Source organism: Homo sapiens, chromosome 2, assembly GCF_000001405.40.
Source record: "Homo sapiens chromosome 2, GRCh38.p14 Primary Assembly".
NCBI classification, from domain to species: Eukaryota; Metazoa; Chordata; class Mammalia; order Primates; family Hominidae; genus Homo; species Homo sapiens.
In genome coordinates, this window is record NC_000002.12 from 232119151 (window position 1) to 232143651 (window position 24501).

General features: G+C 41.0%; 1 protein-coding gene across 5 annotated transcripts in view, besides 2 other annotated features; it reads left to right on the top strand.

Annotated features, from left to right (window-relative positions):
- DIS3L2 (DIS3 like 3'-5' exoribonuclease 2) overlaps positions 1 to 24501 on the top strand; it is a 382638-nt gene that overhangs the window by 157438 nt on the left and 200699 nt on the right. For 3 of the 5 annotated variants that reach the window (NR_046476.2, NM_001257281.2, NM_152383.5), the window contains exons 7-8: positions 11469 to 11569; positions 17322 to 17569. Coding sequence is in view for 3 of the 5 variants with exons in the window: in NM_001257281.2 (NP_001244210.1) it covers positions 11469 to 11569; positions 17322 to 17569 (349 nt within the window). In the remaining 2 variants the exon portion in view is untranslated. Of the gene's footprint in view, positions 1 to 11468; positions 11794 to 17321; positions 17570 to 24501 lie in introns of those variants that run through there. The other 2 variants (NR_046477.2, NM_001257282.2) reach the window with 2 other exon arrangements.
- Positions 2385 to 2579: a silencer, noted in NCBI's record as "fragment chr2:232986245-232986439 (GRCh37/hg19 assembly coordinates)". NCBI's record gives its function as "represses an EF-1alpha promoter that drives an FKBP-Casp9 reporter gene in an ReSE screen in K562 erythroleukemia cells {active_cell/tissue: K562}" and the evidence as "EXISTENCE:reporter gene assay evidence [ECO:0000049][PMID:32094911]".
- Positions 18689 to 18983: a silencer, noted in NCBI's record as "tiled region #7061; HepG2 Repressive non-DNase unmatched - State 15:Elon". NCBI's record gives its function as "represses a minimal TATA promoter and a strong SV40 promoter by Sharpr-MPRA in HepG2 cells {active_cell/tissue: HepG2}" and the evidence as "EXISTENCE:reporter gene assay evidence [ECO:0000049][PMID:27701403]".

Sequence of the window (24501 nt, forward strand, 5' to 3'; positions counted from 1 at the left end):
GAACATAAGAGAGATATGATATGTATTTCATATATGTGGGCTTGCAGACCCAATTTGACTCATCTAGTCTAGCTTCCCATGCTTTGAGGCTAGTCTCTACTTAACTCGCTCAGATGACTTAACACCTTTTTTATTTTTTGCAGTTTTAATGGATAACTAGCTAGTCCTTAGAAGACGGGTAGAGAAACACCTGTCGGACTTTAGTAAACACCATATTTCTAGTGTTGACATGATCACATCACAGGAAGACGTGAAGCTTGGCCTCTTTCAGAAAAATTCAGATGGAAGTCTACTTAAACTTGGAGGAATCATTCATCTGTTGAGTAAGATGCAGAATTAGTCAGTTAAAGCCAGCTAGAGATGGAAGCATATAAGTGTATGTACCTACATTTTGGGTCTTTGGGGAGCCATCAGACTAAAAGTCAATTAAAACTTCAGTAGAGAAATTTAAAAGTGGTTTCTCCTGGGCAAGAGAAAGATTTGGAGCAGAGAGTGCTCAGGGAAAAGCAGAAGAGTGTTGAAGATGTAATTAATACAGTTAATAGCTGGGAATGGGAATCAGTGCAAAGCCCCATTTGAGAAGACCCTGTGAGGGACTCCAGTTTGGGCCTGAAAGCCACAGTATCCAAGGCTCAGGTCCAACTCAGGAATCTGAAGCCACTGCATGGCCAGCTTAAAGAGGAGGGTGACCAAATCTTGCCAAAATATGTACCACCTTTCTTAATCTCTTACCAATCTGTAAATTAGAACAATGAAGGGAAATGGGGTAGTGAAAGGATGTTTTTCCTCTCTTATTCCTTGGGTATCAGCTTCCTTTGCATTCCTTTATTCATCTTACGCTCTAATATGTTAAGGCTTTTTTTCCCCCCAGTCTCTGCCCAGTTTATCTACTCTCAGATGATGTTATCATAGAATTCATATACCCAGCCTCTACCATAAGATGTAGAACCATATCCCTGGCTTGGGCAGAGGACCTCATTATGCTTATGTTGCATTGTGACACCAAATTTGAAATGTGTTCAAAATAAAGTTGATTGACTCTTGCAGTATCTGTCACTCAGGCATAACTCTTAGGAATCATGTTTTCCATTTTCACTCCCATCAATGCCGTTTGGATTCTGAAGGTAGTGTGGCAGCATGGAAAGAGGATGAGGTGCTGGCATCCATGAGATTTAGGTTCGAATCCTGCCCCAGCCACTTCCGAGCTGGTCACCATGGGCAAGCATGTTATTTGGTATGTGTGAGCCTTTAGAGATAAGTTCCCTTATCTCTAAAACCAGCATGATAATCCCTGCCTACCACGTGGGACTGTTGGAGAATATTAAATGTGGTATGCATGTAAACCACCTAACACAGTGCCAAGTGCAGGTGACGGGCTCAATGACAAGCTACCAATGGTTAGTTTGAATGCATTGAGCACAGTGCCTGGCATGTTCAAGGCCGTTGTTTTGGGATGTCATTCGCTTTCAGGCCTCCCCTGGCATTGTGGAACACAGAGCTCTGCACATAGTGGGTCTTCTCTACCTTCCCTAGCACTTTCACCAGATGTGTTTGGCTTTGATGTTTCAGAGGAAACAAAAGCTGACCCCTTTGTGATCCCCTGCAGCTTACAGCCACTAGATTTACAAATGGCTTATGTCTAATCTCCTCCCCTCCTGCATTTATTTCGATACAATGAAGTTGGCGTTTCTCTGTCCTTCTGCTGGAGTTAACCCTTCCCCTGGGTTCTGGATCACATCCCTTCCTGTCCAGGGACCCCTCCCTTTCCTAATTGTGCCCACTTCAACCACACCTTCTTTACTGGTTCCTTCCCATCAGCAATTAACCATGTCCAGGCCTCCCTTATCTTAAAAAAATAAAATATTAAAAGCCATGTCATGATTTCTGTCCTCCCCCTACAGCTTCCACCCTGTATTATTCCAATCCTTCACAGCCAGACTTCCTGAGCTTCTTCCACACCCTCATTCCCACAGTCTGCCTCCCACTCAATTTCCCAGGCACAGCATTCTGACTTCACTTTTCCTTCATTCAGATTAGTCTCACTAGGGTCACCTGTGACCTTGTCACTAAGGCCACACTGCTGACTACACTTTCCCTATTGAAATACTTTCTTTCTTTGTCTTCTCTGATTCCATATTAGCCTGATTTTTCTCCTACCTCTGACCACACCTCAGTTTCCTTTGCAAACTTTTCTACTTTTGCTTTTCTTAAATGTTGATGTTCTCCACTATTCTGTCCTAGGTTCTCTTCCCCTCTAATTCTGAACAATCTCCCAGGGAAAGAGTCTACTCATTCATTTGCTGTCTGTACACAGGTGACTCCCTTATTTCTGTTTCCAGCCCAGACCTTCCTTTCTTTGAAGTGCCAGATCTAATATCTGATACCTTAAACTAAAAACTGACTGAATTTATATCCTTTCTTGGTTGCACTGAAATACTCTTCCTGTGATGGCTCCTCATCAATCTATAGTGGTGGCTCACACGCCTTAGTGTGCACTGGAATCACCTGGAAGGCTCGTGAAGCTACAGAGTACTGGCCCGCAACCCCAGAGGCTCCGAGTCTGTAGGTCATGGACGGTGCCTTTTATTTTGCATTTCTAAGAGCTCACAGGTCATGTCTATGCTGCTGGTAAGGAAGCTCTGTTATAAGGAAATCAGGCAGTCTTTCCCACACCCTACTCTACCTCATATACCTCCCCACTTCCCCACTAGCATCTAAATATTATAATTTTGCCAGTTTTGCCTTCTACATACCTCTCTAGCCAGGACCTTCCATTCCCTTGGCCACTAGTCTGATTTAGTGCAGTGACCTATTAACTGGCCTCCTGCCTCCAGTCTCACTTTTCCTAAATCTGTTCCCTGTTCAGAAACCTGTCTAAGCTTCCCAATACTTTAATCATGTCAGCCTTTTGCCACCATTCTCCTATAGCTCCCCATTGCCTTTGTGATAATCCAAACTCTGTAATGTTTAACTGGCCTCTGCCTATCTATGTAGTACCTTCTCTTGTTCCTCCTTACTCTGCACAGCATACACCAGGCACACAGAAAAATATCAGCAATTTATATATATAACAATTACTGAGTGCTTACTGTGTTTTAGCCCCTGTGGCACTTTAACAGATATTAATTTCATTTAATCCTCCCATTAACTCCTTAGGGTAAGTTACATTTTACAGACAAGGAAATGTGACCTATTTTGTAATGCTGCCATTGTCCTGTATACCAGTCCTGTCCTGCCAGTTGTGTCCAAAATAACAGGGTTGGATTCACTTATAACTCGCTACAGGCCAGGCACGGTGGCTCACGCCTGTAATCCCAGCATTTTGGAAGGCCGAGGTGGGTGGATCACCTAAGGTCAGGAGTTCAAGACCAGCCTGACCAACATGGTGAAACCCTGTCTCTACTAAAAAATACAAAAATTAGCCGGGCGTGGTGGCAGGTGCCTGTAATCCCAGCTACTCGGGAGGCTGAGGCAGGAGAATCACTTGAACCTGGGAGGCAGAATTTGCAGTGAGCTGAGATTGCACCCTTGCACTCCAGCCTGGTCGACAGAGCAAGACTCCATCTCAAAAACAAAAAACAAAAACAAAACTCCAAGAGACAACAACAACAACAACAAAAACATTAATAGTAGCTAACAATTGTTAAAAAATATACTTGTGCCAGGACACTACATGTAAACATAACTCATATAAACTATTTCCAGTGGGCAAAGGAGGAAATTCAGAGACAAAGAGTAATTTATTTGTTTGGAGCCACATAGCTCAAGCTCATAGGATCTAGGTTTGAATTTAGATCTTGTGACTCCAAAGCTCATGCTATCTGTCATGCCTATGGATGGAAGCAGTGAAATTATATAAGGAGAGCTGTTGATCATTAGGCAGCTTCTAAAATTTAAAACCCATCACTGTCTATAACTGAATTATAAAATTTTCCACAACCCTCCCACCCTAATTGGAACCCACCCACATACACCCATCTTTCTTCCAGATCCCATCATACCTTGGTGGGAAGAGCTTGGACGTGGAGTCAGACTGGGTTCTGATGCCCCTCTACTAACCATCTCCTTGGATGAACCCTGGGATAAGTTAGTTTACTTCTTTGAATTGCTGGTTGCTTTTCATTAAAACTCAGGATATTAACAAGCAATGGGTTTCTGAAAGAAAAAAAAACCCTAAGATAATAATACTTTCCTCATGGGGTTGCTGAGACAAATGAATGTGAGTACCCACTTCTCCATCCTTGTGCCTTAATGAGATAGTACCTTATCCGACAGTGCCTTAATGGAACATTGGGTATTATTGTAATGGCTTCCTTACCATCTCCTTGCTTGTGCTTACACTGTCCCCCTCCCCTATTCTTACCCCCATCACTGCTCCCCATCTATGCTCTACACTGCCACCCGAAAAAGATTTCTAAGATACAAATCCTAGGGACTTTCCGTTAATCGTTATGGTGGGCTATTAGATTCACCAGGAGGAAACTACTGAAAACCAAAGGCAGATACACCCTCCCACTGAAACAACTAAAAATATTTGGATTTAAAAAAAATCTCAAAGCATTAAAGAACTGACGGGCATTACCAGGTTAAAATTGGAATTGATAAGACATTGTAGGTTTGACCACCAGTTGCTGGGGACAGAAATAAGGTCCAGACTCTTTATAAGAAGCTGGAACCCCAAAGGGCTACACCATCAGGGTAGACATGAAACAGCAGCTCTCACATGGAAATGCAGCCCAGGTTCAAGCTGACTGGGTCAATCAAAGAATCTAAAGTCTTGAATTGGTTTAAGGACTGGTGCCTCTGGATATCTGGCAAAATCAAGTGGAAATTCTTTCAAAAGAAAGGTTTCTTCAACCTAGGCCTCAGATTATTCAGTGACCAGCCCATAAATATAACCAGGCATCCAAGGAAATCATACTTCAAAGACAAGAACCATAAGAAACCACAAACAACAGAAGCAGCTCTTCAAAAACATCATCAGGTACTAGAATCATCACAGTCTAAAAAATGTCTATTTGAAATCAGACTTCAAAGACAAGAACCATAAGAAAACACAAACAACAGAAGTGGCCCTTCAAAAATATCATCAGATACTAGAATCACCACAGTCTAAAAAAAAAGTCTGTTTCCCCTGTTTAAAGAAATAAAAGATAACTTTGAAGATAACTCTGAATTATGACATAGCAAATTGGAAAAGAAACCAAAAAATCCTTCTAGAAATAAACATTAAATTAATGAAATTAAAAACTTGTGGATGAAGAAAAGTGTATGTTTGATTAAATATTTTGAAGAGAAAAAGTCAGTGGATAGATTTAACAGCAGATTGGATAAAGTGGAAGAGAAAGTTAACAAACTGGAAGAGAGTAAGAAAAAAATTATTCAGAGTATTGCAATGGAGAGACAAATAGAAAATGCAGAGGAGAAGGCAAGAGACATAGAGAACAGAGTGAGAAGGTTTAAATAAGTTGAATTAGAGTTCTAGAAGAAGATGAGACAGAAAATGGGCAAAGGTGAAATTTGAAGACAGTGGCTGAGATTTTCCATAGCAGGCGAGATACCATTAAGCAGATTAGTGACTGCAAGTCTAATTTTTAAAAAAATATCCAAATTTAGATACACCAGGAGGAAACTACTGAAAGCCAAAGGCAAAGAGAAAAAAGCAGCTGGAGAAAAAAAAGTTTGTCTTCAAAGGAGCACTAGACTGACCAGGATAACCTTTTCTCATTAAATATAATTTAACCATTTCTCATTAAATATAATTCTGATCATATTATTCTCAGAATTTGCAATGGTTTTCCATCACTAAAATATAAAATAGATACTCTTCAGAATGTCATATGAGGCGTTTCATGGTCTGGTCCCTACACCTCATTTATACACACACGGCTTTCCTCCTACTCAGTTTACTCTTGCTTGTGTGCCTTTGCACGCTCTCTTCTCCCTTTCTAAAATGCTCCCTCGTCCCATTCACCTAGCTATTTCCTACTCAGCCTTTCCATTCTCAACTCAAGAGTTTAGCCGCTCTGTCAAACTGCGGGGCTCCCATCTCATTGCCCTTAGGCACACTGCTTGCCAGCAGTCATGAACAGCATGTGCTTTCAAAATTTGTTTGCATTTTTGTCTCCCTTCCAACATAGGAGCGAGCTCCCTGAGGACAGAGCTTGATACTCCATCAATATTCAGGATGCTCACTGGGTTGACTCCAGCATTTCAGGAGGTCCCATGCCATTTAAATAATATCTTGATACAGGTTTTCATGGCTCTTTTCATAGTGCCCAGTTCTTGCTAGTGTGGAGAACAGGTCACCACTGTCAACACCAGCATCCTGCATGCTGTCATTCACTGGCTCCCCCTCTTCACTACTCCTCTTTCCTCAGTGAAGCTGGAATAACAGTACCCACTTTACCCATAGTATAAGTTGTAAGTTAAAAGAGGTAATATAGGCGAGCATGCTGTGAAAATTCTTTGGCATCATACATTTTCATTAGCTCTATATCAGAGTGAAATTTGCTTAGGCCTAGGGATTTTGTGAAGAAAGGAGCTTATTGGTGCTCCTGAAGACTGTCCCTCCCAAGTCTTGCCTTGACAGGAGCTAGATGTGGGGTCCTAGAATGATCATAAGCACTCGTTAGCCCAGCAAGCTTGCAGCATCACAAATGATTATTCACAGTGTATGTTACCTTGCCCCTGTGAGGACTTGTGTTTTCATTTCTACATTTCACTGAAGAGAGGGGGGCCCATAAGATAAGTTTTCCTAGTTGGTTTTGAGAGATCCAGAAGGGACATATTTTCATTTACAAATACATACTGCATTCTTTTCATTGAACTCTTTGGAAATTGTAAATTTCTGTGGCCCTCCATTCAGAGATTGAACAAGCTTGGATTTGTCAGCTTTGGACTTAAATCACTGCCATTATCTTAATTTGGGTTCTGATTGTGTCTCACCTAGATTCTAACCTCAGCTTTCTAAGATCTCTGCTACCATTGTCTCTTCATTCCAGGGTTCTATCAAATTCATAGCTCTAAAATACATGTGTGATATATAGCTCTTAAGAGAAGAATTGCCCTGGCATTTATAATGCTTTATAGGATAGTGTCCTAGCTTGTCAGTTTCATTGTCTGGGCCTGTATGTTAGAAAGTATATTCCGTAGAGAATAGCATTAAATCCTAAAATATCAGTGGCTTAAACAAGAAAGAAGTTAATTTCTATCTCACGTAGAAGAAGATCAGAGACAGGCAGGCCAAGACTTGTAGGATAGCTCCACAGTCTTCAGCTCATTCTGTTGTACTGCTCTGCAGAGTAGAAAACACCCTTGACCTCTGGCCTCCAGGACCAGGATGAGCGATCAAGGTCCAGCTATCAAATCCACATTCCAGCCCGCAGGATTGAGAAGAGAGAGAAGGCTGGGCCTCTGCCTTGTAAGGTTACTCCTGGAAGTCACTAACAACACACTTTCCCCAGAATCTTGTTGCCTAAAATGTAGACATGCAGGGATGTGGCTGAGGGATGTGGCCTTTTAACTAGGTGGCAGTATGCCCAGCTAAAAATTGGAGTTCTTTTTACTAGGAAAGAAGAGGCTGGATAATTGGGCAGTGACTAGTCCCTCCCACAGGGCCATTCTACCAGCGTTATTTCCCCCCTATTCTAGTTCCTCCCTACCCAGCACTGTGTCCCCAACCTGTTAATAGCTACAGTAAATCTTTTACTGGGCCTTTACCATGGCAGGTCCACTCACAGATCTAGGTCTTTCACAAGTTCTGGCCTTTGTCTGGAGTGGCCTTCAACTTCCTTATTTCTCTTTGGAACATCTATATCTATATATCCTTCAAGGCTCAACTCACTTCCTCAGTGAATTTTCTTCATTAACAGTGACAGAACATTATCCCTTACTTTTGTGTATAGCAGTGTGGTGCACTGGAAGAGTTTCATGGATTTAGGGGTTGCATGGACTTGCATTTCAATATCCTCTCTCCAGCTTGGGCTGGAAAGTTTCTCAGCATATAAACTGTTTGTAAAGCTACAGCCCAGGTCTGTTTTCTGAGTTCCAGACCTTCATTTTGAATTGCTTACTCAGTTTCTTCACTTAAAAGTCTCATATGTGACCTATCAAATAGAACCACCTCCGAAATAGAATTATTGATCTTTACCCCTTCCTCTTGTCTTTCCTGTGCCATAAGTGATGCCACTATCAACCTAATTGCTAGTGTCAGAAAGCTGGAAATAATCCTTGACTTCTCTTAGCTGATAATCCTTAAGCTCTCATATGTAATTATCACCAAGACTATTCAACTCCAAAATATATCTTAATTCCATCTCCAATGCCTGCATCACAGCTCCAGCCTCTCATGCCTTGACTATTGCAGTAGCTTTTAACTGGTCTCCCTACACCCACTCTTAGCCTGCTCTTATCTTGCCCTGGGCAATGTTGCTGTCTTGCACAGAATCCTTACCCATCTTGCCGTTGTACTTAAATTCTGGCTTCTTATGTTCTGCAAGGCCCACACCTGACTTGGCACCTATCTACCTCTCATTCTCATCTCTAGCCATGCCCATTCTTGCTCACTGTGCTCCAGCCATGCCTCATGGTCTTTGTTCTGGTCCTTGATTGTGTGAAGAACTTCCTGCCTTTACCCTTTCCTGTGTGCCATTCCTATCTTGGGTCTCTCATTCTCCTCTTCACTCCTGTATACACTGTCCTTATGTCTCAATTTAAATTCTTTCCCTGATCTCTAATCTAAATCATATGTCCTTTCCCCCTTCTTTTTGGGATTATTCTTTCCTTCTTAGCATTTATTACAGTTTTTATTTTTTTTGAGACAGGGGCTCACTGCGTCGCCAAGGCTGGAGTGCGGTGGCACGATCCTGATTCACTGCAGCCTCCACTTCCTGGGCTCAAGTGATCCTCCCACGTGAACCTCTCAGGTAGCTGGGACCACAGGTGTACACCATCACACCTGGTGGATTTTTTTTTTGTATTTTTTGTAGAGACAGGGTTTTGCCATGTTGCCCAGGCTGATCTTGAACTCCTGGGTTGAAGTGATCCTCCCACTTCAGCCTCCTGAAGTGCTGGGATTACAGGCGTGAGCCAACATGCCCACCCTATAATTTTATATTTATTGAGTGATTATTTATATGATATTCCCACATTAGTCTATAGGGCTGGGATCATATTTCTTTTAACACTGGATCTTCAGTGCATTAATGTGTTCAATAAATACACATGGAATAAATGAATAATAACTGATCTTGTGATTAAACAATGTAGTAGAGTCTCATTAAATTGACAACTTTGCTAATTTTTTTTTTTTTTTTTTTTTTTTTTTTGGAGAGACAGGTTCTTGCAGGCTGGAGTGCAGTGGTGCAATCTTGGCTCACTGCAGCCTTGAATTCCCAGGCTCAGGTGATCTTCCCACCTCAGCCTCCTGAGTAGCTGGGACTATAGGCGAGCACTACCATGCCCAACTAAATTTTATATTTTTAGTAGAGACAGAGTTTCGCCGTGTTGCCCAGGCTGGTCTTGAACTCCAAAGCTCTAGTGATCCTTCTGCCCTGGCCTCCCAAAGCACTGGGATTACAGGCATGAGCCACCCAAGACCAGCCGACAACTTTACTATTCAGTGTGGCAAGACATGGTTGTTGGAAATGTATTAAGGTGATTCACCTTTTCAACCTGGCATTGTGTTTCTTTATATCCATTGACTGTTATCTGTGATTCTCACCTGTAAGGCTTTAAACCTTGGTTTAATTTATTAGAATGTAACTTTGTCTGAACAAAGCCTCATTTCTGCCAGGATATCCTTCTGAATATAGAACCTGAAAAGGTCATGTTCAGGTCTGATAGAAAATCATGATTGGGCCCACTTCTATGGCTTGCCCTCTCTCTTAAGATGTAATTTGGTATAACATTTTGAACAGCCGACTTGCTGTTGTTGGGATGGAATCTGAGGTAACAGTCATTTGAAGATGGAGCCATCAGTGATCATCACAGAAAGCTGTTTGCCCAGGATTTAGGCTGCCTTGGAAACCCAGTCCTCTCACTGCAGTGTCTTGATTGGTAGCATTTGAGACCAAACTAGTTGTCAAATATCTAAGTAGAGGATACTTATTCATGGTAATTCCACGCTTTGATTTTTTTCCTCAGTTACTTTGTTCTGCAGAGCACATTGGTGAGGTATGTTATGGAACAAACAGATCAACAACTTGTGTGGTTTTTTTTCTCTCTACAATTATAAAAAATGTTCTAAAAGCATTTGATGATTTTGGAATCCTGAATTATGGGTTTAAAAGAAAAGTTGAACCTTGCTGATGTCCTCTTTCACTGATAGAGAGGGCAATCTACGATAGGAAAGTTTGTGTTTGCTTTTACTTTTTGGAAAACAATGAGGATTCTGCATTCAGAGGGCACTTCAGTAGGTAGATTTCAGCATAGATGGAAAAGCAAACAGTTGATCATTCTTAAACCCCGGTAGGTCAGATCATGTCAGTGTTTCCAGAGTACGCCCAGAATGGTAAAAGTTGGCTTTAAGCTGAGTTTTTGCTAAAAGGCAGCCAGTCCTGAAAAGGATTGATTTATTTACTTTGGCCTTGGCAACATCTAAATGATGATAAGTGCAAGTTTCTCTTAGCTCTCTGGAGAGGCTCCCACGTAAATTGGTTGTGACCCCTAGAATCCAGAATCCCTAACATAGTTGGATAAGAATATTTTGTGGGGAAATCTAATGTAACAAGTAAAGATTCAAAATTTTAAATGTTTAGAAGTGTGTAATTTGCTGCTTTTGTTCATGAGTGTTTTTAATACTTCTGGTAGAGAGCCTAACTGCCTCTTTCCTCAGGAGATGTGGTTTCAGTTTCTTGGGTGAATGTGCGTTTTGTAAGTTTTTTAAGAAAGGAAATTAAACATTAAAAGACTTTAAGTACTTTACTCTTTATATAATGTCACTAAGAAAAAGCCAGGAAAATCAGGGTTGGGTTTTTAAATTTATTTATTTAATAAATATAATCTATTTTCCACCATTTTGTTTGTTATGGCTGGTACCAAAGTACTTTTAAAAGTTAACATTTATTATGATTTTGTTTTATTTCAGCAGATGTGCATAATAAATTAACCTATCTCTATTCTTCATTTTGGGCTGGGGCAGCATTTAACATCTAGTTTTTTGGAATTTCGACACACAGGCTATTTAGTTTAATTCAACATAGTTTGATGCTCTCCAGTTGTATGATATTTATGATAGTATGTGAATAATGTTAAGTAGATAAAATGTGGTCTGCTGAGGCTGAGTGCTCAGCCTGAGTATAATACTGGTATGTGACAGGTCCACTGGCGGCCTGGGGTTCTTCTGTAAAGTGAGTAGTTTGGGGTAACTGGTATCCAGGCATCTTTCTAGATTGAATTTTAAAATCCCACTAATTGATATGCATCTGGTTGATGACTCCTCTTCTCTCTTTATCTTTTTAATGTAGGAAGAGAGGATGGTGATGCACCGGTTACAAAAGATGAGACCACCTGCATTTCACAAGACACAAGAGCTTTATCGGAGAAATCCCTGCAAAGATCAGCAAAGGTCATTGCCTACAGATTTTCTCCACGTGTCCAAATGGCTTTCACCTGAGCTACTTGTTGAAGATCTCGTGTGATTCAGTCAGGACTGTATTTGGTCATTTAATCAGAAAAGTTAGAGCAGAGAATCATAAAAAGTGAATTAAAAAAAAAAAACTTTAAACATATAAATACGAATCCATCTTCCTGCCTTTGGATAAGGGGTCAAGGCCTTTTCTTTGAGTGTGGGTATGTTGATTGGAGTTCTGTGTTATCTTTCTTGCTTAAACCACACTTGTAATGCAGCATTTATCACTTTGAGTTTTGGTGGAGTGAGAATTTAGACAGTGGAGAAGCAGTATGAATATAGACTCTCTTCAGATTTGTACAGTTTTTGCTCCAATTTTTTTGTTGTTACCATGCCCATACCTAATTTAAAAATAATTTTAATGTCTTTTTTAGTTTTTCCAAAGTATTCAATTTAGTTATAGAAACAATTGTTTTTATATTCCTATTTCACCATTTTGCACAATTCACTTGTATTCTTTAATTATAGAAGCTAGTGTCATTTTCAGATGTGGGATGAAACAGCTGACTTCTTTTTTTTTTGTTTTGAGACAGAGTTTCACTGTTGTTGCCCAGGCTGGAGTGCAATGGCACGATCTTGGCTCACTGCAACCTCTGCCTCCCTGGTTCAAGCGATTCTTCTGCCTCAGCCTCCTGAGTAGCTGGGATTACAGGCGTGTACCACCATGCCTGGCTAATTTTTTGTATTTTTAGTAGAAATGGGGTTTCGCCAGGCTGGTCTCGAACTCCTGACCTCGTGATCTGCCTGCCTCAGCCTCCCAAAGTGCTGGGATTACAGGTGTGAGCCAACATGCTCGACTAAACACAGCTGACTTCTAGCTGTGCACATAGCTCATAGTGGCAGAAATGGTGAAGGGCAACGTATAAAGTGGCATAATGGCATGAGGCTTTATGTTTCAGAAGCATCCATCAGTGTGTTTCATATGGGAATGCAGTGTGCTTACTCTACCAAGCAAGTTGATTAATAGAGTATTGCTCTTGCATACTGACATGAGGAATTTCTAAATTATACTCTATATATTTGAGTACTAACTGTGCTCCAGGCAGCATGCTAAGTGTGGGAGATTAGAATGAATGGAAAGCCTGGGGATGGATCTGGCTCACAGACCTATTTTGTTTGACCTGTGCAGTATTTAAAAATTTTGACTTCATGGCTTTCAGCAAAAAAAAAAAAAAAAAAAAAAAAAGAGTCGTCGGTGGGCGGGGGTGGGGGTGTTCACATTAAAAATTAGACTTTTGGCTTCTCTTGTCAAAACAAAACATTTGGTAACACTGGGCCAAATTTCTAAATGACTGTAGTCAGAGCTGAGTAGAGGCAGCCCTGGAACCTGTGTTCTTTGATTTGCTACTGCCCTCCAAACATGTTTTCCCTCTCCCTTCTCCCTTTTCCCTATCTCCCTTTCTTTTGGATAATGTTTTTAATGGATTCAACCAAAAATTACAAGGCAAACAGCACTTGCCTGCGAAACTTATGCTATGGTAGAGTCATTTCCATGACAATTAACATTATATGAATTGCAAGTAATGTAGTAATGTCAGCCTACTTTATACGTTTCCGTGCTGTCAAACATTAAAACAAGAAACAGGAATTTCCAGTTCAGACAAGATGGCATAGACCTATTTTTTCTTGCTCCTCCCACTGAGGATAACTGTAAACCCTGGAAAAAACAAGAGGCAACCAAAGGAGAATTCTGAAAGGTGAAAAGAGGAAGGCAAACTAGTTATGTCAGTACTAGAGAAACAACATAACAGCAGGGACCTCACAACCCCCACCAACAACAGCAACAACAGAAGGTGGCCCAGGCCTAGTGTTTCTGAATGCCAACCTAGCAATAGAGGGTGGCCCAGCTAGACTAATTCTCACCCATATCTAACAGAAATCCCTCCAGCAACATCCACAGCACCTGTAAAGAGCCCTAATGACCGTAAGTGGTTAAGAGAAGGGGTTTCCTTCCTCACCGGACCTGCAGCTTCTCTTTCCCACCAAGAGACATCAGGTATCTGAGTGGCTCCAACAAGAAGGATTCTAGAAGTGGCCCAGAAAGCCTCTTTGTTTCTGTGGGACTGCGACTCTCGTCTACCCAGAGGCACTGAACATTCAGAGACACTGGACATCTACCCAGAAAACACCAGGAAAGGGGATCTGGCCACAACATGCAGTCAAGTATGGGAAGCCCCTGTGTTCTCACAGGCAAGAGAATTTTGCTTCTTCACCCAGAGACACCAAGCAGCTGGGTGGCATTAGCAAGGGAGATCTGGTCATAATGGGTGTGTGGTCCAGGAAGCCTCTTTATCCTTGTGGGCCAGAGACTTCCCTCTCCCACTCAGAAACACTGGGCAGCCAGGTAGCACCAATAAAGGTGATCCTGCCACAACAAGAAACCCAAAATGGGAAGCCTCTTTGTCCTTGCAGGCTGGAGATCCCCATTCCATACTTAGACCAGGTGGCCTGGCTTGGGGAATTTCTTGCCACCCACATAGGCAGTACCAGTAGAGACCAGCGGGAGCCCCAGTGATACCATATAAACCAAACATACCAAGATAGCACTGCAAAGGCTATTTTCCAAGGAAATTGTCATTGAAACTACAGCCCACAAAAGTAGGTCAGGACCTGCATGTTAAACCCCAACAGGGTGTATGACTGCCTTCTAAAATAAAAGATTTAAATGAGACCCAGAGTGTCTTAACATGATAACCAAAAGGTCCAGGATACAATTGGAAACCACCAATCATATCAAGAACCAGGAAGATCACAACATGAATGAGAAGACAATCATCTGATGCCAACACTGAGGTCTTGCAGTTACCCAACAATGATTTAAAAATAGCCATCATAAAAGTGCTTCAATAAGCAATTAAAAACTTTCTTGAAACCTTGGAGAAAATAGAAAATCTCAGCAAAGAGTTAGAAATTATAAAAAGGCCGGGCACAGTGGCTCACTCCTGTAATCCCAGCACTTTGGGAGGCCAAGGTGGGCAGATCACCTTGAGGTCAGGAGTTCAAGACCAGCCTGACCAACATGGCGAAACCCTGTCTCTACTAAAAAAATACAAAAATTAGCTGGGCGTGGTGGCACATACCTGTAATCCCAGCTACTGGGGAGGCTGAGACAGGAGAATCTCTTGAACCCAGGAGGCGGAGGTTGTAGTGAGCTGAAATCGTGCCACCGTATTCTAGCCTGGGTAACAGAGCAAGACTCTGTCTCAAAAAAAAAAAAAAATTATATAAAGGACCAAATGAGAAGTATAGTCCTGAAAAGTACAATAACAGAAGTAAAAACACTATTGGATAGGCTCAGTAGTAGAGATGACACAGCAGAGAATCAGTGAACTTGAGGAGATCAGTAGAATTAACCCAATTTGAACAAAGAAAGTATAGACTGAAAAAAATTGAACAGAGCCTCAGGGAGTTGTGGGACAAGAAGAAGATTGAACATTCAGACAACTGGAGCCCTAGGAGAGGATCAAGAGACTGAAGATGAAAGGAGAGATTGTGCAGAATGGGGACAGGTGAAAATATATCTTCAGAGAATTTAAGGTTCTAGCAAAAGTTGTATAACAATGTATAATGCTGTCCATCTGTACAATTGTAATTTCTTTTCTGATCAACTCTATACCTTGCGTTTAAGGTTAGAGAATACTGGTGGCTGAAATGTTGCAGGACTGAGGGTTTTTAGGGTGGGGTTAGTGGAAGGACCAGAAGATAAGGCATTTGACAGCTTGGGTAAGAGGACTTGAGGTGATAGAATATGGTGGTTCAAGGCCGGATGCAGTGGCTCACGCCCATAATCCCAGCACTTTGGGAGGCCAAGGCGGGCAGATCTCTTAAGATCAGGAGTTTGAGACCAGCCTGGACAACATAGTGAAACCCTGTCTCTACTAAATAAACAAAAATTAGCCAGGCGTGGTGACTGGTGACACACACCTGTGGTCCCAGAAACTCAGGAGGCTAAGGCAGGAGGATTGCTTGAACCTGGGAGGCGGAGGTTGCAGTGAGCCAAGATCACACCACTGCACTTCAGCCTGGGTGACAGAGCAAGGTCTCCAAGAAAAAAAAAAGTGTGCATGTGGTATTGGTATTGTGTGTGCGCACACACACACACACACACGGTGGCTCTGGGAAGGGAGGAAAGGATTCGAGGCTTAGACGTAGATAACAGACTTGGAGAACAGGCAAGGGTTAAAGGTGCTAGAAGTCTTGATGTGGTGAAAAAGCCTGTGGAGTGCAGCACTGGAGAACAAGCGAGCTGTGTGGTGGATTCATCGGAGAGGAGGTGTTGGAATTGGAATAGTTCCAGATGATGCTGAGGTGTGGCCATGAGGACAAGTTGCTGAAATCAAATAGAAGTGAAGGTTGCTGGCGTTGAAGAGATAGGGAAAGGTGAGGACAGGATGTTGACTAAGTTACTCACCTGGATGGACGTGGGAGGGCCAGACTGTAAGCCAGGTTTCACAGAGTAACCAGGAGGCCAGGAGATGATAATAATAAGATGGGGACCACCTGAACCAGAAGAGGGTGCACATACATGCATGAGGCTGGAAGAGTAAAGGTCTGGGTGTGGCAGTGCAGCATGGGAAAACATGGACACCCATTTCAGAGGCTGTATGTGGGAAAAGGAGCATCCTCTTCCTAAATGGGCTGGGGAAGGCAGTCCTTAGGAGAGACAGTTACATGCAAGGGAGTGGCGAAGGGGGGTGTCCCACAGCCTTCTTGAAAGAGGGCACAGCAGTTTGTTTAAAATAGCTGTTTTTCAGGGAAGAAGGAAGAGTTAAGAGGAAGAAAGTAGAGCATGTTTTGGGACTGAGCTTGCATGAGAAGACGGGTGCCCTAAGGTGCTTTCCTGTGGGGTAGTAGCTGGGAGTGACTGGGGGAGAGGTGTGGTGCACTCAATTGGTTTGGAGGTTTCCTGCAGACAGGCTGAGATTCCACATGGAGTCAGGGACATAGAGAAGAGCAGCAGCCAGCTCAACTGCAGGCTGAATCTTTGTTCAGGGGTCTGGTGGGATGTCGGCAAGCTCTGAGGAAGGGATGAGCCTGCAGACTGGCTACGGTAGGGAAAGGAAGCACTTCAGGAAGAATGTGTTGAGGAGGGGGTGGTGAGGGAGAAGACTCACTTTCTCAGAGAATACTTCTCTCTTGATGGAAATCACATGTGTATGTGGTGGAGTGGTGGCCTCAATCTTCATCTAGTCAAATTAGAGCTTGGGCTTAATCTTGGAAAGAAGGAAGATCAAATATTTCTCCTTTCAGCTATTCAAGACATAATTAAGAGAAGTAATTTATGTCTGATAACCCTTTTACTTTTGCAAAAAGCACCTACCGTGTTGTTTGTGTGAGATACTAGTATTGTTCATGTGAGAAAAATATAATGTGAAACAAATACCTGGAGCTGTACTTCCCTGCTGGAGTCCCACATGTCTTTATAAGACACAGGTCATGGTAATAAAAGCACTTTGATTTAATTCATCCATGTATTGCATAATTTTTCTTGGATATGTATGCCTACTAGGTACTTCTTACAACTTAAATATAGATTACTAAGTCACAGATCATCACTGAGAGGCACTTATTTTGACCTAGAAAAACTGCTGGTTCCTGCTAGTTGATCAAATTATAACCTGCTGACCTCTCCCAAGTGTAATTCAGTTCTGCAGATAAACAACATTGACTATATCTTTGGTGTTTTTAGGTGGTTTACATCTTGGAGAAAAAACATTCTCGAGCAGCAACCGGCTTCCTCAAACTCTTGGCTGATAAGAACAGCGAACTGTTTAGGAAATACGCCCTGTTTTCTCCCTCAGACCACCGAGTGCCTAGAATTTATGTGCCTCTCAAGGACTGTCCCCAGGACTTTGTGGCACGGCCTAAAGATTATGCCAACACACTGTTCATCTGCCGCATTGTGGACTGGAAGGAGGACTGCAATTTTGCCCTGGGGTAGGTGATCTCTGGTAGGAAAAACCACAGGTCACAGGCAGAACTCAGTTTAGGTGGTCTTTAGGTAAACTTTTTGTGTATTTTAATTATTATTTCTTTATTGAAGCACGGTTTCTGGTGTATTTTGGTCCTGATTCTTCAGAAGTCACTCTTAGCTGCCACCTCAACTGATTGCCTGTATGTTCCTTGAATTACCAGGCAGTCACATTCTTGTTTTTGTTTTTTGGCGTAAAACATGAACATTCCGAGCCTCTACTTATTTAGTTATGTCATGTGTCCTATTTGTACTTGTGTACCACAGATAATTCATTGCATCAAACAACCAGTCCTCTCCTTGCAGATGCTAGTGTTAAACCATGCAAAGTCTAGGCATATTCAGGAGACCCCAGGCTCCTTTGCTTTAAAATATGAACATGAAGGTATATTTAAATGGCATTCTTTTTCGGTATTGATTTTGCCTGTGGCATTAAAAACTACCCTATTGTAAGAAGGAAAAGGGTATCATGTTTTTGTGGATGCTGTCAGAGATCAATCTAACTTAAATATACATGACATAGTCCAGGAGCATCATGGATGGCCACTTCATTTTCATCTGAAGAAACTGCTGGACCCAGTTGTTTGACCAAATGCTATGCCTATTTTCTTCTTAGAACTGGTATTCATATTGAAAGAAAAGCAGTAAGTTTTAGCTATGTTAAGTGTTTATTATAGATGATGTCTGGTTTATGCTTCACAGGAAATGACTATAAAGGTATACAATCTAGAAAAGAGCCTGTTGATTTACTTTTAGTCTAGTTTAATGACTTGCTTGTTGGTCATCTAACTTGTACAGGATGCACCCTCCTGGGAATGTCCTATGGGTAGGAGAGTCAGCACTGAATGGATGGCTACAATGTGCTGCTTTTATCAGGTTTATTCTATACTTAGCTTCTTATGCCTAGCAAAATAAGCCAAATCAAATGTGTGTGTCATATGTAAGAGTGTTTCATATATAAGAAACACTACCCTGTGCCACTTTTTCAGTTATATGAAGATTGGTGTGATTTAAATGATCTCATAGCTACTTAGGAACAGTTGTACTTTCTTTTTTTCCTCTCAAGTGGTGTGATTGCAATGTCATCATTTTTAAGCCTAACTAATTATCCAAAAGTGATGTCAACCCCTTGAGCCCTAAATAGTCCTTCTTACAAGCTTGCCCGTTTCTCACCATCAAATCAAAAGGCCCAGTAACGGTTGTGCCACCTGGTCCTGTTGATTGTGCAGCCACACTCTGTTTGGCAGTAAAAGAGGAAGACTTTCACATCAAACCAGGAAATCCAGCCTTGTTTTTTATCTGCCTTTCTGTCGTATCCCATTGTGTGTACTTGATTGGACTACTTCCTTAGTTTTCAAGTTGTAAGGGTGTAGTCAGGAAATCTTCATAGTATGAGTTTCTCTTATTACTTTCATGGCCTTATAGGTATTTTTTAATTTTTATTTTTTTTATAGCTGAGCCATTACTTCATCAGGAACCCTTTTCTTGAAGGTAAAATACAACAAAAAGGGAGTCAGGTCTTTGAAGCCTCAAGCACATTTGCTGGATTTAAAGAAATAATATTTAAAAAGTCACATATTAATCATGTAATTTTCAAAATAAAAAATGAAGATAATCATATTTAGATGGAAACATCATGCTTTTTCTCTACCTTCTTAATATAAGGATATAAAAATTGTCATTTATGGAAATATGCCTTTTAAAATCTTTGTGAAGAAGAGAAAATTTATTTTAAGAAATAAAACATGGTAGGTTTTCCTGATGAATTTCTCAAATGACGTCTGTTGTATGAGGGGTGAGGGCTGCAGCTGTTGAGTATGTTGGTGGTCGCCTTGCCATTTTGTTCTGGTTATCCGTTACTGATCTTTAAGAACTGAGGTCACTTTTTCTTAATCAGAACATGCTGTGCTATGACTGCCTAGGTTTCCTCCCTTATCTTTGCCAGGCTTTGACCAGGAGTGTGACGGTAATACCTGCTGTGGGTGCGAAAGTGTTATGGTTAGCTTCCACATAAACTATCCCTAAAAATCAAGTTTAGCTAAGGTGGCTTCCTTCTCAATTTGTTCCCAACTCCTATACCTCTCTCCTTAAAAGTATCGGACTTCCTTTGCCTATGTAATTGCTTCTAATTATTCAAGTTCAAAGTCATTTTCCTCTTCTGTAGTTACATTTAGTTCACCAGGCTGGTTTTGATCCAACTATGTGTAAAGCACTATGCTATATTATCTGAGAAATACAATGGTAAACAAGTTATGGATTCGTTACTTAAGGAACTTATAGTCTAATGCAAAAGGATTTTTGCATGTATATATCATAGCGATAATTTGATTCTAAGAAGTGTAATCCCACTTGAACTAATTTAAATAAAAGTAGAGATTAATATAAGAAGCTGGTGATTCTTTTAAAAACCAGAGCAGGAAATGGAGGAAGTCTCATGAGAAAATCAGAACTAACAAGGCAACAAAGGAACCACAGCTTCTCTTTCACCCCTGTGACTAGCCCAGCCACCACACAGTATCTTTTCTTTACCCCTTTTTGCACATGAGCTGTGTTATTCTGCTTCTCTCTGCACAGTAGTCTTCTACCTGCACAACAGCACACGTGGCCCCAAAATGGCACTGCCAGTCCTATGGCAGTTACATACTAAAGTCTAGATCATAATACAGAATTTCTATGGTGGAAAATCTTACTGGTCTAGCTTGAGGCAGGTGTTTTCCCTCGTCAGTAGTTTCAAGCAGAGGTGGGGGTCCAGAGTCCCATCCATGACTCACACCCAATTTGCAGCGCTGTGGGACTCCTGGGAAAGAGCGTGGATAAAACAGATGGCTTGAATGGCTTATCTCTTTGAGTTCTACCTACAGTACAAAACAGAATGTTCTAAGTTCTTCCATAGAATAGAATAATTTGGGGGAATTTAGAGGAGGTAGGTAAAGGGGGAAATCCAGGATCATTTCTTATAGGACAGAGGCCTCTTTGCTAAAAGATCACTCTGACTGAGAGTAAAGAATAGATGAGAAGGGACATGCCTAGTAGCAGGAGGTCATAATACACAATTGCAGTAAGACAGATGAGGTGGGAGAACCTGAAATAAAGGGTTGCAATGGAGGAAACAAAAGAAATGAAAAGATTCAGGGGAGATTAAGAAGGTAAATTCTCCCAGATGCGATGACTAATTAGAAATAGGGCATGAGGGAGAAGGATGGAATCTTGGATGAACTTTCAGGGCTCTGACTAGGGGGAGTGGGTGGATGCTGATGGCATTTAACCACAATTTACTGGGAGCCATCTCAGTTCCTTCTGTGGTCTTCACTATCGAAAATCAAACTTGCCATTTCCCAAGCTGAGTGTGTATGTTCATAGTTCCAAACTTTTGCACATTACACTTCCTTTCCTAACAGTGGCTTTCTCCTTCCTCTAGTGTTTGCTTGGTGAAATACTCAACTTTTAAACTCATTTGTCCACTCAAAAAAAAATGTTCCTTGACTCACAGGCCTCCCTTCTGGTGCTCCCATAGCTTCTATTAGTACTATTATTATATTTCTCATCTGTTTGGTTTGCAATTGCTTGTTTGTTTTACTTGGCCATGAACTCCTTTAGGACAAGGACACTTGGTGAACATTTGCTAGCTGGTCAGATGAGTAGATGGAAATGGATTGATGACCCCAATGTCTTGAGCCAGGTTGACTAGGAAGATGTTGCACCATGAATCAAGCTAGAAAACACACAAGGAGTAATTTGGAACAGAAAATGATGAGAACTAAGGTTCTATGACTTCAAAGTCCATGCTTGACAATGGCATACAACAAGTATAAAAACTCAGGTGGAGAACGCCAAATTGAGAAGGCACAGATATTTAACAGAAGGATTGAATAGAATGCACACATTAATAGAATATATGATGTTAGTAGCTTTGGAAGGATCCTTAGGTAGGACATGGAGCTTGGCCTCCCCTTTGCTGTAAGCATTGCTTCTCTGACACCCTAGTGCTGCCTTGGGGCCACCATTTAGGGGCAGCTCAAAGAGTATTACAACATTGGAGACTTCCAGTTGTTATAAAGTTATTTTCTATCTTGTTCTTAGAATTGTCATGAGAGATCTCAGTTGAACCTTGTTCACCTCTCTATACATCACATCGCCCACATTTTTATGAATCTTGTTCTGTAATGCTATCAAAACCCAAGTGAACCCTTGCTAGCTTTTAGGGATCACTGTTTTTTGTTATACATTACAACATATTTAGTACCTTTAATATTTAGTACTACACTCTAGTCCAGGATAATTAAAAAGCCACATTGGTTTCTTCGCTGGAATGATCTGCAATTACATAATCAGATTTACAGTTTTAAGAGCTTCCCAACCTCTTAAATCATCTTTCCCTTTAGAAACTCTTGCAGTGGAATTCATGCCTATATTTTCTCAGCCCTTTGGGAAATCTGGTATCCTCAGTCTAGAGTTTACAGTTCCAGCTTCTCTTTCCGGGATGTCTTGAGCGTAGAGATAGCATGGTCACTTTCTCCCAGATTTGTCATGGTTTCTTCTTGACTATTTAAGGGTAAGTCTTGAATAAAATGGAAACGTTTTACAGCAGCTACCGTGAGGAACTTAATAGTGTTTCTTGGCAACACTGAAGGCTAGCTGAAGATATGTGACATGAATCGACCTAGAGCAAATTGACACATTTATATTATTTTATCAAGCAAAGTCTGGTGGTTTTGAGGGGTGGAGGAGGAGGAGGAAAAATGAATAGGTCATTACAGGCTGAGAAGTTCTTGGTTGAACATGGGATTGCCTAGGCTTAATGGGAGGCTGTGGAAATGAGAAACAGAGAATGGGTCACAGTGCTGCTGGCTTTAATGAGTGTGAAGGACAGCAGGTTCCATTGGAGCAGATGACGGAGTGAGGTGAAAGCAGAGGAAGGGAAATTCTGACCTTAGAGGACTGTGGTAGAGATGGGAAGTAGGGGGTGGAGGTCTGTTCTGGTATCACCTTTGTCTCCTAGCTTTTCACCTTGTGGTGGTTGTTAGCCAGTCAGCAATATTTATTGACCCATGGAAGCAAATACTTTTACATTCCATTCAGTTTTGATAGATACTCAGTTTCTTACAGGGTAGATAGGAATTGAAGAGGTGGTCATTAAATTACATTAAATACATTGAATTGTAATTAGTAGGAAAATTAAACCATGACTAGATTGATAGAAAAAACAAACAGAAGAAATTAGTTTGTTTCATTGAAGCATAGGCTCCAAGATTAGCAAACTGAAAAATAACTGTATCCAATCTTTCCCTTTGCAAAAGGAATATTTCACCTTTTTGAGAGCATGTTCTTTAAAGATAGCTCTGAGGGAGAAACCAAGTTATATAATGCTATGGACTCGCATTACCAGATCTATAGAGTTTGTATGTTCTTTTCAAGGGGTATGGACCTGGCCGGCTAGGAGGCAAAAAGCAAATCAGGCTGAGGAGGGGGCTCTTTTTTTGTGACTGTTGGGCTCCACCTGGTGGCCTGTAAGGATCAGCTTTGGAAAAAGCTGTGTCTTCAACACTGAGAAAATCCTGGTCAAGGCAGAGCAAAAGTTAAAGGAATGGAGGAGAATGATCCTGATCCAGGCTTAGGTTACCAAATTGTTCCTTTCCTTGATGAGCACTGCATGCAGTTTTGGCACTTCTTCCAAAGTCGCCATCTTCAACTGCAATTTCTAGTGCACCTTCTTGAAAATATTATGATGTTAGAGGACCTTAGATAACCATCAACCTCCTCTTATACTCATTAAATCCTTTCAGCTTCCTCTTTGCTTTCTTCATATCAACACCAATTCACTCTTAAATTTCAAGACCTTTTCTTAAATAACTCAGTATTGTTGACTCTTACTTCTTTTCTCCATGCTTTTATCTATTTTCACTGATAAAAACACCGTTCCTGAAGTCCCTATTCCTTAAGTGCTACTTTCTGCTGTGTCATAGTACTGAGCCATAAGAAGCGAAAATAACTCGTTCCCTCTCCTGATTATAGAAAATAATACATAAAATATACAGCCAAAGACAAGTGTATTTGCCACACTTCGTTTTTACTTTGTATTGTTGGAAGTTTGGGCCCTCGGTATAGTTGATGTTTGATTGTTCCCCACTTGTACATTCTCAGGGCTGTGATGCCATTATATCTGTTTGCATGGAGTTTCCAACATTGGACCAACATGTATGAGAGCATGTATTTAAGAGTAGTAATACGATAGTGGTAATCACTGCAAGAGTGCATGACTGTCTTCTAAATATCGTCTAGTTGTAAGACTAGGAGTTTATAAGAATATTTAGTAGAGGAAAGATGATGAATGGCTGAGAACACTAATCTTGACTATTTAATGTTCCTGTTTTCTTTAAGGCAAAGAGGCCAATTTGAAGGACTTTCTTGTTATATTTTTTTCTGTCTGTAGCTGGTCCCTTTCCTCAGTACGTTTTTAATAGGCATATCACCCAGGATAGTAGATCTGATGCTTATTTATATAGAATGTTTATATGTTTCCCAAGGCCCCCACCTATCATATGTAGGAAGTTGGGAATATTGTTGCAGTGCCATTCAGATTAATTTTACAGTAGGACTCAGTTGGAATGTCATTCTTTGTGAATGGCAGCAGTATTCATGGAGGAGCTCTAGTGAAGAAAAATTGAAGTGGTGATCATTATAAATAACTCTATGGAGGAAAACTTTCTCTCTTACAACTATTATTGAAATATCAAATTAACAAACATTTCTAAATTTTATTTTTTCCAAATACATACATATTGAATATTTACTGTTAAATTTATTCAAATGTGTACTATTGAAAATGAAAATTTCCCAGAGTTTCACCCCCGGAAACGATCACTATTAAGGTTTTGGTATACATTTGACTAAAATATTG